At 34.6% G+C, this 14,347-nt stretch overlaps 1 protein-coding gene across 25 annotated transcripts in view; it reads right to left on the reverse strand.

Annotated features, from left to right (window-relative positions):
* CDC42BPA (CDC42 binding protein kinase alpha) overlaps nucleotides 1–14,347 on the reverse strand; it is a 328,635-nt gene that overhangs the window by 117,555 nt on the left and 196,733 nt on the right. For 20 of the 25 annotated variants that reach the window (NM_001366011.1, XM_017002580.3, NM_001366010.2 and 17 more), the window contains 3 exons: nucleotides 12,392–12,525; nucleotides 5,259–5,501; nucleotides 4,900–5,010 (listed from right to left, as the gene is read on the reverse strand). In NM_001366011.1, the coding sequence (NP_001352940.1) occupies nucleotides 4,900–5,010; nucleotides 5,259–5,501; nucleotides 12,392–12,525 (488 nt within the window). The remainder of the gene's footprint in view (nucleotides 1–4,899; nucleotides 5,011–5,258; nucleotides 5,502–12,391; nucleotides 12,526–14,347) is intronic. The other 5 variants (NM_014826.5, XM_047432364.1, XM_047432365.1 and 2 more) reach the window with 1 other exon arrangement.

Raw genomic sequence — 14,347 nt, forward strand, 5'->3', positions numbered from 1 at the left:
CTCAAGTCTCAAGTACCTTTCCTTTTGAGACAGGGTCTCACTCTGTCACCCAGGCTGGAATGCAGTGGCCCAATCATGGCTCACTGAAGTCTCGACCTCCGAAGTCTCAGGTGATCCTCCTGCCTCAGCCCCCAGAGTAGCTGGGACGACAGGTGCCTTCTCAAAAAAGAGTTTGGGAAGGATTGCTGTTAATTTTTCTTTAAGTGTTTGGTTCAATTCAGCAGTGAAGTGGTGTGGTCTTGGACTTTTCTTTGTTAGAAGGTGGCCTGTCTTTTTTTAACAAGCCGCTGGAGTGGGGTTGTGGAGTGCAGGAGGGTCTGTCAGAAGGTTTTTGATTACTGATTCAATGTCTTTACTTGTTATAGGTCTGCAGAGATTTTCTATTTTGCCATGAGTCATACTGGGTTATTTGTATCCTTCTAAGAATTTGTCCATTTCATCTAGGTTATCTACTCTGTGGGCATACAGTTGTTCCTCTTATAATTCTTTTGTTTTCTGTTGGTCAGTAATAAAATTTTCCCTTATACTTCTGATTTTAGTTATTTGCAACATCTCTCTCTCTTTAGCTCTTTTTATTGGGAAGGGGTCAGTCTAATTAAAGGCTGTCAATTTTGTTGACTTCTAACCAACTAACTTTTTGTTTTATTGATTCTATTATTTTCTAGTCTTTATTTTATTTAGCTGTGCTCTACTCTTTATTATTTCATTCCTTCTGCTATCTTTGGATTCAGTTTGCTCTTCTTTTTCTAGTACCTTAAGATATAAAGTTAGGTTAGTGATTTTTACTTTCTTCCCTTTTAGTCCTTCCTTTTAATACAGGCATTTATAGTTACAAATTTCTCTCTTGAGCACTGCCTTTATGGCATCTGTAAGTTCTGGTGTATTGTATTTTCATTTTCATTCACGTATTTTCTAATTTCCCTGGTGATTTATTCTTTGACCTATGGTTGCTTAAGAGTGTGTTCATTGATTTCCACATATTTTTGAGCATTCCAGGTTTTTTTTTTCCCTGTAATTGATTTCTAGCTCCATTCCATTGTGGTTGGAGATGATACCTCATACGACTTCAATCTTCTTCCATTTACTAAAATGTTTTTTGGCCTAACATGTGGTCTATCCTGGAGAATCTGCCATGTGTACTTTAAAAGAATGTATATTTTGCTGTTGTTGGGTGAAAAGTTCTATATATGGTTGTCTCTCAGTATCCATAGGGCACTGATTCCAGGACCCTACTTGAATACCTAAAATCCACGGATGCTCAAGTCTCATATATACAATGGTACAGTGTTTGCATACAACCTACACACATCCTCCCATATACTTTAAATCACCTCTAGATTACAGTCACATATTGCTAAACGACAGGGATATATTCTGAGAAATGCATCTCATTAGGTGATTTTGTCCTTGTGTGAACATAAGTTGTACTTCCACAAACCTAGATGGTACAGCCTACTACACACCTAGGCTATATGGTATAGCCTATTGCTCCCAGGTTACAAACCTGTACAGTATGGTACTGTCCTGAATACTGCAGGGAACTGTAACACAACAGTAAACACTTGTGTCTCTAAATATAGAAAAGATACAGTAAAAACATCATATAAAAGATAAAAAAGGTATGTCGCATATAAATATGGTATAAAAGTAAGGTATAAAAAATAAAAAATGGTATGTCATATAGAGCATTATGAATGGAACTTAACAGGACTGGAAATTGGCCTGGATGAGTTAGTGACTGGTGAGTGAACATGAAGGCCTAGGACATTACTGTACACTACTGGAGACCTGATAGATAAACACTTTATACTTAGGCTACACTATTTTTAAAATTTTACTTATCCAATAAAAAACTTGGCTTACTATACCTTTATAAGCTATTTACTATTTTAAAACTTTCTGAACTCTTCTGTAGTAACACTTAAAATACAAACACATTGTACAGATGTACAAAAATGTATCTTTTTTTTTGAGACAGAGTCTCACTCTGTCACCCAGGCTGGAGTGCAGTGACTCAATCTCAGCTTACTGCAATCTCTGCCTCCCAGGTCCAGGCGATTCTCGTGCCTCAGCCACCAGAGTAGCTGGGATTACAGGCATGCGCCACCACGTTCAGCTAATTTTTGTATTTTTAGTAGAGACGGGGTTTCACTATGTTGGCCAGGCTGGTCTCAAACTCCTGGCCTCCAGTGATCCACCTACCTCAGCCTCCCAAAGTGCTGGGATTACAGGTGTGAGCCACCGCACCTGGCTATCTTTCTTTATATCCATTTTCTATAAGCTTTTTTCTATTTGTAAAATTTTTATTTGTTTTACTTTTGAAACATTTTTGTTAAAAATTAAGACACAAACACACACATTAATATAGGGTTTACACAGGGTCAAGATCATCAAGACGTTACTAGATGATAGGAATTTTTCCAACTCCGTTATACTCTTAAGGGACCATTGTTGTATATGCAGTCTGTGGCTGATCAAAACGTCACGATCTCTACTTACAATACCTAATGTGATATAAATGCTATATAAGTAGGTTTTACATTTGGAACAATGACAAGAAAAATCATCTGTACATGTTCGGTACAAATGCACCCATCTAATTTTCTTCCTCCAAATATTTTTGATCCATGGTTGGTTGAATCCACGAATGCAGAACTCATGGATATGAAGGGCTGACTCTGTATCTGTTAGGTCTAGTTGGTTATAGTGGTGTTCACAACCTCAATATCCTTATTGATCTTGTGTGCATATGTTCTATCCATTATTAGAAGTGAGATATTGAAGTCCTTAACTCTTTTTGTAGGGCTATTTCTCTCTTTAAGTCTGTCAAAAGTATTCTCAATGAAGTGAAGATTCCTACAATCTTTAAAAGGGCCAAAATATGTTTTAACCCTTTACTACATGCCAGGTTCTGGTCTATACATGTTAAATGCATTAACTTATTTACTAGGTAGGTGTTATATTATCTCAAATTTCTAAATGACACAGAGATGTGTTTGGCAAGTAGGTAAACATGATACAGAGTCTCCAATGAAGTAATGTTTATTGTAGAAAAAAATAAAAAGCAAACCATTAGATAAATCATGTGAATGAAAGTTAGAAAACCTGGGTTTACATTGTACTCTATCACTTATGACTCTAAAATATTTAACTCTTCTGACCCTCAATTTTCTCAAATAAAAATAATGCCTAAGATTTCTTCCAGTTTGTACTTTATTATTCTTATCATCCAAAGCACCCAGAATAGTGCTGGAAACAAAGCAGGCCCTGACTGAAAAGTATCTGGGATGGTGATGTAATTACTTCTACATACTAATCCTGCTCTAGAGGTATATAGAAGACACATCTCTACTTCGTAAAGCTAACCAGGACTATGAATTCATGATGAACTAAAACTCCCAAAACAAAAACAAGAATAAAATCAAGAGTTTATATTTCTATTTACAGCAAAGGAATTTGACTTGCAACCACTGAAATTCAATTGTCAGACAAAGTAAGCTCTGACCAATTCTACCACATGATTCATTCATTAACTTAACAGGTTTATTAAACAAGTATTCAATATCTGGTCCTTTGCCAGGGCCAAATTAACAATATAACTGTCTGTGTTTTCAATAAGCTAGGTCACAGTTTAGTTGGAAATATACAGATTTGCAAATAAATAATTACAATAAGAGCTAAGCTACAGGTATTAACAGAATTCCAAGAAGCAGTACAGGAGTATGTAGATTTTAAGGAGTATGATTCTTACATGTTATGGATAATTAGACACTAGACTAAGCATGGTCCTAAAAGAAGTAGGTGAAATGGGGGCTGACAGATATAGCAGAGAAAACAGGATGGAAAAAGTTTCCAGTCAAAAAAGATAAAAGGCAGATACCACACTCAGACTATTACTTAGTATGGTAAAAATATCACGTCAATTTGATCTTAATTCACTCACTGTAATATACATAATACTATTATACTAACAGTTACTGAACACTTATAATGTGTCAGCTTACAAATGTATGTATGTACTCGTGACATGAAATAGTTTTATAGAGGAGAAAATTAAAGTATAATGAGGTTAAATGTTGTTTTGTTTTGTTTAAGACGGAGTTTCGCTCTTGCCCAGGCTGGAGTGCAATAGTGCGATCTAGGCTCACTGCAACCTCCACCTCCCGGGTTCAAGCAATTCTCCTGCCTCAGCCTCCTCAGTAGCTGGGATTACAGGCGTGCGCACCATGCCTGGCTAATTTTGTATTTTTAGTAGAGATGGGGTTTCGCCATGTTGGTCAGGCTGGTCTCGAACTCCTGACCTCAAGTGATCTGCCCATCCCGGCCTCCCAAAGTGTTGGGATTACAGGCGTGAGCCACTGTGCCCGGCCCCATAATGTTCTGTCCAATGTTACATGTTACACAGCAAGTAACTGGTGAAAGCAAGAAGTTAAGAATAGGTAGTCTAACTCCAGAACGGCTCAAGAATTTCCCTTGCAAAGCACCTTCTGCTGAGATGTTTTAGACTATGCCCATTATCATCTTATCCTAACAGACACAAGTGTCTGCAAAGCTACCCCTGAGCTTCTCCTGAGTCATTTATGAGATATATAGAGGGTCTGGATATCTAACCATGACTCCCATGCAGATTACCAGTACATCTTGTGTAGGTCTGCATAAACATTCTAACTCCCTCCTGATAGATTCATATTTCCCACTAAACATAGTCCTCCATTTTCTTCAGCATAATTAAGAAATCTGTATTAGCTTCCTACTGGTAAGAACGAGAATTATGAATAGTAGGTTTGAAGAAAGGCTAGTTTTCACTGCACACCGAATACAGTATACAAGCTAACACTCCTAACAAGCCTAAAGAGAAGAAAATCAATTAAGCTTCATAAATGTGAAGTCAAAAGATACCTTCAGTCCCTCCAATTCATTTTCCAGTTGCTTAGAATAGTGCTCACTCTGTTCACGTAGCTTCCTGTCTTTAGATGCTTCAGCAGCTAGAGCTTCTGTATGAACTTCCAGCTTTAAAACAGAATGAAAAATGCAGATTTCACGGTTATAATTTTTTTCCAAACAAAACATTTATCCCAATGAGAATTTACCTTGTAACAGGAAGATAATTCAAATGTTTAAATCCATATTAAATAATATTAATGAACTATAAAAATAACTTTAGAAATATTTTAAAAATTATATATTATATTACTAGTCTCAAAAAGCAGCTTTAATCACTATCCCATGGGCACTACAAAATTTGCCTGACTACTAACCTCTTTTTTGGCTCTTTCTGTTCTGCGCAGTTCTTGCCTTAAGCTTTCAACTTTTTGCATCACCAGGTCCACCTCTTCTTCCTTATCTCGGACATGGCGAGCAAGTTTCTGTTTTTGGGTGTGCAATTCTGTTAGCCGCTCATTGATCTCCATGAATTCCTGCATGGCCAGTTTCCTCTGACAGTGTGCGTCTTTCAGCTCTTTGGATTGGTTTTTTAATCGCTCACTAGCCTGGACTAGTTCCTACAGTTTTGTAAAAAGAATATAAGTTACCAATTCTGCAACCTAGAGACCAAATTTGGCCATCAGAATAGCTATCATTAAGTCAAGAAGAGCCAAAATTATTCACCTTAGGACAAATTAAAAGAAATAAACTACTTCTGAACAGATATTAACGGCATGGTGTCCTGATATAGTCTCAATTCCTTATGCTAATACAGTAAATGCACAGGAGCTGCTGATTTAACCTTATAGTACCTTAGTTTCCACAAATGAGGAAAAAGTTTAGGAATAAACGATATGATGGTCAAAATAAATATTTGTGAAATTTAATAAATATGTGTGAGGTTGTTTTCATAAAAAACAAGTGTTGCCCTTGACATGGAGGCTACGCCTCAAGCCAGAAGCAAGGAGATAGAAACTAAACCGGAGACTCCCTAATTAAAATGAGAAACTTAGAGGAGAGCTAAAGTGGACTCAGGGCAGTACCACTACCTGCCTCCCAGCAAAAGGAAATGCAAATTTTCTTTGGGGGAAAGAAGTGCAATGAAATCTGAATTTTTCACATATTAAGAACAAACAAGAATGAGCTCACAACCACAGATTCCAAAATACTCAAAGAACAAAGCACCACAATCAAACAACAAAAACAATAAAAATAAACATCAAAGGTATCTTGGTATTAAAATCATTAGATATCAACACAAAATTGCTACATATGAAATATTTCAAGGAATAAAGGATGAAATAATAAAAACAAAAAAATGACAAAAGGCTATTAAAAATGACCAAGCAGATTTATAGAAGAACTGTATGGAACATTTAGAAATAGAAAACATAAGGCCAGGCACAGTTGCTCTCATCTATAATCCCAGCACTTTGGGAGGCTGAGGCAGGAGGATTGCTTGAGCCAAGGAGTTCAAGATCAGCCTAGGCGACATTGTGAGACCTTATCTCTACAAAAAATAACAATGTAAAAAAAAAAAAAAAGGCCAGGTATGGTGGTATGCACCTATAGTCGTAGCTACTAAGGTGGGAAGATGACTTGAGCCTGGGAGGCTGAGGCTGCAGGGAGCTGAGATCACTCCATTGCACTCTAGCTTGGGCAATACAGTGAGACTCCAACTCAAAAAAAAAGAAAAGAAAAGAAGTGAAAAAATATAAATGTTAAAATTAAAGACATGCATCCATCACCACAGGAAGCTCTACATTTATGAATCAAGAAAAAATTTAGAAAACCCAAACCAGAAGTGTTCAAAAAATGACGCTGGGTAATACCAAAGAGAAATAAAAGACCGTAAAGAAATCAGAGGGAAAGAAAGACAAATCACCTATTCCCCATCCTCAAATAAGGCGGGGAGGAGGAAAATTAGACTAAGAACAGACACTGAAGAAGTAACAACAGCAACAGAAACAGGGTAAAATATTTTCAAAGATATGAGAAGATAATTAAAATTATATACCCCAAAAATTACTTTTCAAGTCTGAGGCTTCATATAAACAAAACTGACAGAGCTTACCATAATCAGATCTGCACTAAAGGAACCAGTAAAGCTTTATTTCAGGAAAAAAAAAAAAAAGATTTTAGAGATCTAATGCAAGAGAAATGAAGAGCTAATAAAATGGTTAACATGAATGTGAATGTAAACAAATGTGTATATAAGATTATACTATAAAAATGTTAACTTTGTACAGTAAACAAAAGATAACAGCTAAAATACTGGCCAATAACAACACATAAAGCTGTAAAGAGGTAATACAGCTTGAATAATCCAAAAAATTTGAAATCTGAAATGTTTCAAAATCCAAAACATTTTGAGTGCCAACATGATGTTCAAAGGAAATGCTCACTGGAGCATTTCAGATTTTGGATTTTCAGGTTAGAAATACTCAATTGGTATAATGCAAATATTCCAAAATCCAAATGCTGGTCCCAAGCATTTCAGATAAGGGATACTCAATCTGTAAAATTAAACGTCTTTAAATTGTTTGTGGGAAATAGTTTTAGGATATTTAACTTAAACTTAAACTTGGTTAATACACATGGTAGAAGCCAAGAGTAACCACCAAAAGACTAGAGAGTAAACTAAAATGTCAACAACAACAACAACAAATTTCAGTGAAGAAGAAATGATTTTGCAAACAAAAAGAGTTCTGGAGACTGCTGCACAAGAATGTAAATACACTTAACATTACTTAACTGTGCACTTGAAAATTGTTTAGATGGTAATTTTATGTTATACGTATTTTACCACAGTTAAAAACTTTTGAGAAGGGAAGAAAGGAAATAAAAAGCAGCATGCAAAAATCATGACAAACAGAAAAAAAGATAGTAGAAACACATCCATATACATTAGTAACCAGTTAAAGGCCATCTATTATACTGGATTAAGAAATGAAATCTTGACTTCAGTAGAAAAAGTATTACTAAGGATAAGGAATATCACTACATAATGATAAAATTCAATACACTAAGAAGAAATATTATCCTAAACTTTTGTGCCTTCTATAAGAGAGTCTCAAAATCATTAAAAAGAAACTGTTAGAACTTCAGAGAAAAATTGGTAAACATCACTATAATGAAAAATTTTAATTTCTTAGTCATTAATAGATAAACCAGGTAGGCAAAAAAAAAAAAATAGTGAATATAAAGACGATCTGAAAAGCTTCATACACAGAAGCTTGCTCTCTAAATTGGAACACGAACTATTTTCAAGAACACACATTGAATGTTTTAAAAATGGAACAGGCTACGCCATGAAGCAAGTCTCAGTAGATTTCAAAGAACAGATACCACGTAGAGCAAGTTCTGTAATGACACTGCAACTAAATTAGAAGTCAACAAAAAAAGATAAAACTCCATATATTGAAAATTTTAAAAGATACTTATAAATAACTCATTGGTCCGTGAGAAAAAGCAGGAATGCAATTCAACTCTTTCTATGGACCAGTATAATCTGAATATCAAAAAAAAGAAAAGAGGAAAAAAAAAAACACGTCAATCTCACTTATAAAAAACAGTGAAAACCCTTTTTGAAAATTAGTAAATCAGTTCCAGTGATATATAAAGTAGATATGCATGAAGTCTGGAGCTAAACTCCTTGTGCTGAAAATCTAGCTCCACCACTTTCTATTTCTATGACCTTGAGCAAGTGAACTAACTTCTCTGTGCTTGGTCTCACCATTCATAAAATGAGAATAACACCTAACTCATGGGGCTGTGATGGAGATTAAATAATTTAATATATGTAAAGCATTCACAACAGTGCTATTAGAACAGATATTTGCTACATAAATGTTATCTATACTATCACAGTATTATAAGAAATTTGGGCTTAACCCAGAAATATAACAGTGGCTTAATATTAGAAAAAGTCTACAAACGTAGTTCACCACACCAACTTATTAAAGGACAAGAATCATATAATCATATCAATAGAGCACAGAAGGGCACATTTAATAAAGTCAGTATCCATTCTAAATAAAAGGTATTAACAAAATAGGAATAGAAGGTAACTTCTTTAACCTGATAAAAATTATTTATTAAAAACTTACAGCAAACATTATTAGCGATGAAATATCAGAGGCAGTTTCTTTAAAATCGGGGAACAAGATGGGGATGCCTGCTATTATCATTTCTAGTCAACACTGTACTGAGGTTCTAGCTAATACAGTAAAACAAGAAAAGAAATGAAAGTCTTTTCTGTATGAAATTTTATGGAAGAACATTTTAAAAGAACTTTAAATATATGGAGAGATATCATGTTTACAAATAAAAAGACTTTAGGAATGCAGAGAAACTTTTATGTTTTTGCAGCTGGTCCCTTTTGAACAAATTTTACCGAAACCTGGGCTAAATGAAAGTCTTAAAAAGTAACTTATAACTGATTTAGTAGTGAGAAAACTAAGAGATTTACCTTCTGGAGGTTATGTGTTTACATTTCAAGGTGGGGTGGGAGAGAGTAGGAGCCTGGACCAAGGGGGCTTCCTTTGATGGAGCAGGAGACTCTGGGCTTATATTTCCAGAGGGAATATTTATCTATATTCCAAAGGGTTAGAGAAAGAACCCAAGATCCTTCTCTTTAGATTTCCAAGGAACTCTCTCAGAACAGGAGAAAGCAGGAAGCAGTTGCTTCTTTCCTCTATATAAGCACCTGCATAAATGTTTTCAAGGCTCCTCATTTACAACACAGACTCCTTATGTGTAGGGTTTTATCCTGCCAGCTCTCAGGGTATTTCTCTTGGGGTAAGACTTGGCACAGAAGGGAGCCATGTAGTTATTCTTTGCTGTATGTAAGTAATAACAATCCGTTCTATTCTGGAAATCTGTGTGTATATTCAGAAAAATAGTAATAAATATAGATAGTAAGAACTTAAAGACAATATTGTAATGATGTTAATTCTCCCTAAATTGACCTATAAATTCAGTGCATTTTTTTCCCCCTGAGATAGGGTCTTGCTCTGTTGATCAGGCTGGAGTGCAGTGACATGATCATGGCTCACTGCAGCCTCAATCTACCAGGCTCAAGTGAACCTCCTGCCTCAGCATCCTGAGCAGCTGGGATGACAGGTGTGCACCACCCAGCTAACTTTTTTATTTTTTGTAGAGACTGGGTCTCATTCTGTTGTTGCCTAGGCTGGTCTCAAACTCCTGGACTCAAGTGATCCTCCTGCCTCAGCCTCTCAAAAGTGCCAGGATTACAAGCATAAGTCACCATGCCCAGCTGATTAAATGCAGTTTTAATCAAAATTCCATCTTCACAGTTTTCAAAAAATAGTTGAGATACAGACCTAAAAATTTAAAACTTTAAGATAAAAATTTAGGAGAATTTTTTAAAATCTCAGATTTTTTATACAAGACAGCAAATACACTAACCATAAAAATATTGATAAATCTGGCCACAACAAACCTAAGAACACTTTTTAATAAAAAGATTCCTAAAAGCAAAAAGATAAGCCACTGAGAGATATTTGTAACACATATAACTCACAAAAGATTAGAATGCCCAAATATTTCCAAGAATTCTTATAACCAGTAAGAAAAAAACCCAACAGAAAAATATACAAAAGATATTAAGAAGCATTTCACAAAAGAAATGTAAACGACAATAGACCCATGTGAAGATACTTGACCTCATTACTAATTAGAGAAATGCAAATTAAGACCACAACCAAACATTTTCTAAAACCTAAAATCTCAATTTAGACTAGATTGGCCAAAAGTAATAAATCTGGAAATATGAACACAGAAACTCTACACTACTCGTGGAAATGGAAGTTGGTATGCTAGAAAACAGTTTGGCATTATAAAAAATCAGAATATTTGCTAACTCAATCAAAAAATGGGCAAAGGACCTCAGTGGACATTTCTCTAAGACGACATACAAATGGCCAATAGGTATATGAAAAAGTATTCAACATCACTAGTCATAAGAGAAGTAAACATCAAAACCATAATGAGCTGTCACTTCACATCTATTGGAATGGCTATTTTTTTTAAAAGACAAAGGATAACAAGTGTTGGCAAGGAATGTGGAGAAAAATCATTTTCTACTGCCTATAGGATATTAAGCAAATCACTCAAAGTCCTTTATTGGTATAATCTGTTTCTTTTCGTCAGCACTATCATCTTCTCAAAATATATAAAAAGGATTTTTAATACTAAAACATTAAAAATTGGTGACCACCTGTCACTATAAATCTAGCTATCTGATTTTCATCCTCTTTCCAAAGGGTTAGAGAAAGAATCCAAGATCCTTCTCTTTAGATTTCCAAGGAAATCGCTCAGAAGAGTAGAAAGCAGGAAGCATAACGCCGATTATGTTAACTAAATTTGGCTGAGTAATCCTACCAATAAAAATGGTAAACCATTAATATTACTATAATATTATTAAAGCAAATAGAACACTAACAGTTTTAAATGACAAATATTATTAAATTGGCAATGAATTTAAATGGACCTATACAAAAAAATTGCTTGAAACCTCATTAAGCAGAAAGTAAAAATGTACTGGTCTATTTCAATCTATTCTTTAATAGCGTTCTCTTTTAGTCCTTTTGATTAGTTTCATCAGCTAAAGGTTATTTGTTTTATTTTTAATTCCCTCCATCTCCTTCCTGGCACCAAGACTTTCAAATCTTCCCCAGGAGGACTTCATTCATTCTATATTATCAGTGCATTATATTAATATATTACATCATTGAATACAACTTATGCTATGCCACAAACTACTGATTTCTTGTTTGCAATGGCTAGTATTAGTCCCAACATTTTTCTATTTGTTAATGAAAGTCACGGTGCTTAGCAGCATGTGGTTCAAGAAAAGTGTTTTCTCTAGTGCTTGAATATTATTTACCCTATTGGGCTGTGTTACAGAGGCTTAGCTATCAATAAATTTTTTTGATGTTTAAAATAATGTTTAAATGTTTCACAAAGTTCTTATGAAAATAACTTTAGCTTATTTACCCCTGCTGCTTTGAAAGATAAAAACTGACATTTAAAACAAATCACCAAATAAATTTTAAATTATAATATTTTAAGAATGTTCATATCAGTAAGTTATAATGAAAATATGCCTGTATTTTAAATTTTTTCTATAGATGCTAAACAGTTTCTACTATTTTCTTATTTCTTCATGTTTCTTTTTCAATAACATTCTTTTAATCTAGTCCTTTGACTATTAACTTTCTAAAAGAACAAAAGATTCTGAACTTTCAAGCTTCAACAAAGTTTCTTAATTTCTAGCTACTAACCAAATAACATACACCAAAATAATCCTAAATTTTTAGACCAACTTTTAAGAAGATAAAATATACTATGTATTATTGTAATTCATTATGAATGCTTTCAGTATTCTTATTATACAAGATTCAAAATAGAGAAAAAGCTTTAATGATCTAGTCACATATTTTACCTTATTTAGATCTTCTCTTTCTTGTTGTAACGTTTTGATTTGTTTTTCATAAGCCTTGATTTGTCTAAAAGCATCATCTAGTTCTTGCCTCACAGCATTAGCTTCTTCAAGTTGCTGTTCCAAATGACTTGATTCTAAAAACAAAAGACAATGTTTCTTTTACTATTTGTATAAAAGCAAATGATTGAACCTAAGGTAAAACAACTAAAATTTTTTTTAAAATTGGTATTTTCAATTTAGTGTTAGATCTGACAGTGTATACCAGTATGACTCTTGACAAATTAAATGCATTATCAGTTCACTGTAAAGACGGTGAATGGTGTATGCCAGTGTGAAGATGTGCAACAATGCCTTACATACTCATTAGGAAAAAAAAAAAAAGCATGCTTCCAAAAACAGCACCTTCGGAAAAATTAAAAATTTAAAACTAACAAGCAACAATAAAACCAACCAAAAAAAGGGCAAGTTTTACTGCAGTGTTGGTAAGCATCCTAGTGCTGATGTTAGTCAAATTACCGTGTAAGACGGTTTTGATTCTAACAGGGTGGTTCCAAATCACTCAGTCTAGTTTCACCACTATTTATCTGAAGAATAAACTCTGATTTCTAAAGAGCAAATATCTGAAAAACTCCTGATCTAAATCAATTCTCCTATTTTTCAGATGAAGAAACTCAGGGAGTTGAATAATTTGCCTACAGTCACATTGCAAAATGTGTATCAGAGCTAAGACTAGAGCCCAGGAAATCTTGCACTGACTTTTCCACCTTACAAGATAATGTTATTAAATAATGTTTAACATTCTCAGATAAGAGGGGCTTTTAAGAAACAACATTATTGATTTTAACCTATGCCTCAAAATGTAATAAATTGATAGGAAATGTTCCTGGTATCAAAAGTAAACTAGTAAAGAATTGAAGTCAGTGATACAGAGAAATCTAAACAACACTCATTATCGGTTCTGCTCTGGATATTTTCTGTTCTTTACACATTATTACTCTAAGTCAGCAATACCCAACCTTTTTGGCACCAGGGACCAGTTTTGTGGAAGACAATTTTTCCACAGCCCAGGAGTCCGGGAGATGGTTTCGGGATGAAACTGTTCTACCTCAGATCATCAGGCATTAGTCAGATTCTCATAAGAGGCATGCAACCTAGATCCCTCGCATGAGCAGTTCACAATAGGGTTCACGGTCCCATGAGAATCTAATGCCACCGCTGATCTGACAGGAGGTGGAGCTCAGGCGCTAATGCTCACTCACCTGCCATTCACCTCCTGCTGTGCGGCCCAGTCTGCTGGTACCAGTTTGTCGCCCGAGAATTGGGGATCTCTGCTCTAAGTAACATCCCCAGACAAGTGACATGAGCATCCCCTAGGAACTTAGATATGGAGAATCTCAAGCCCCAGTCAAGACCTAATGAAGCAGAATCTATACAGTATCCTCAAGTCATTCATTTGTACATTAATGTGTGGGAACCAGTGCACAAAGTGTTGTATATTGTTGAGACTGATGCTTTCAATAAATGAAGCAGTGTTAATATGTTAGTCCTATTGGGAAGAGCAATTCACTTGTGTAGATGAATCCTGGAGTCTAAAAATTACTTAAATGTATTAGTGTATCATGCATTGTATAGTTCTACATTCCATAAATAACTGATATCAGTGCAATAAATTGATAGATTTAAAACCTACTTTGAAAGTATAGTTATTAATAGCATAGTTAACTTTTGAAGATGTAAAGTTGTATTAACTGGTTTTCATAGTATCTGAACAGTATCAATTAATGAATGCTTATGTGAAGAAAACTAAAAATCATAGGGTGTTTAATCTTAATCATGGTGTTTAGTCTTATATTCAGAAAACTGTATTTTATCACTTTATCAAATTTTGGCATTTCATATGGGAATATTTCTATTTAAATCAATTTCTTTCAAACACATTTAAATATTTTCTAGTTT

This window comes from Homo sapiens, chromosome 1 (assembly GCF_000001405.40).
Source record: "Homo sapiens chromosome 1, GRCh38.p14 Primary Assembly".
NCBI lineage: Eukaryota > Metazoa > Chordata > Mammalia > Primates > Hominidae > Homo > Homo sapiens.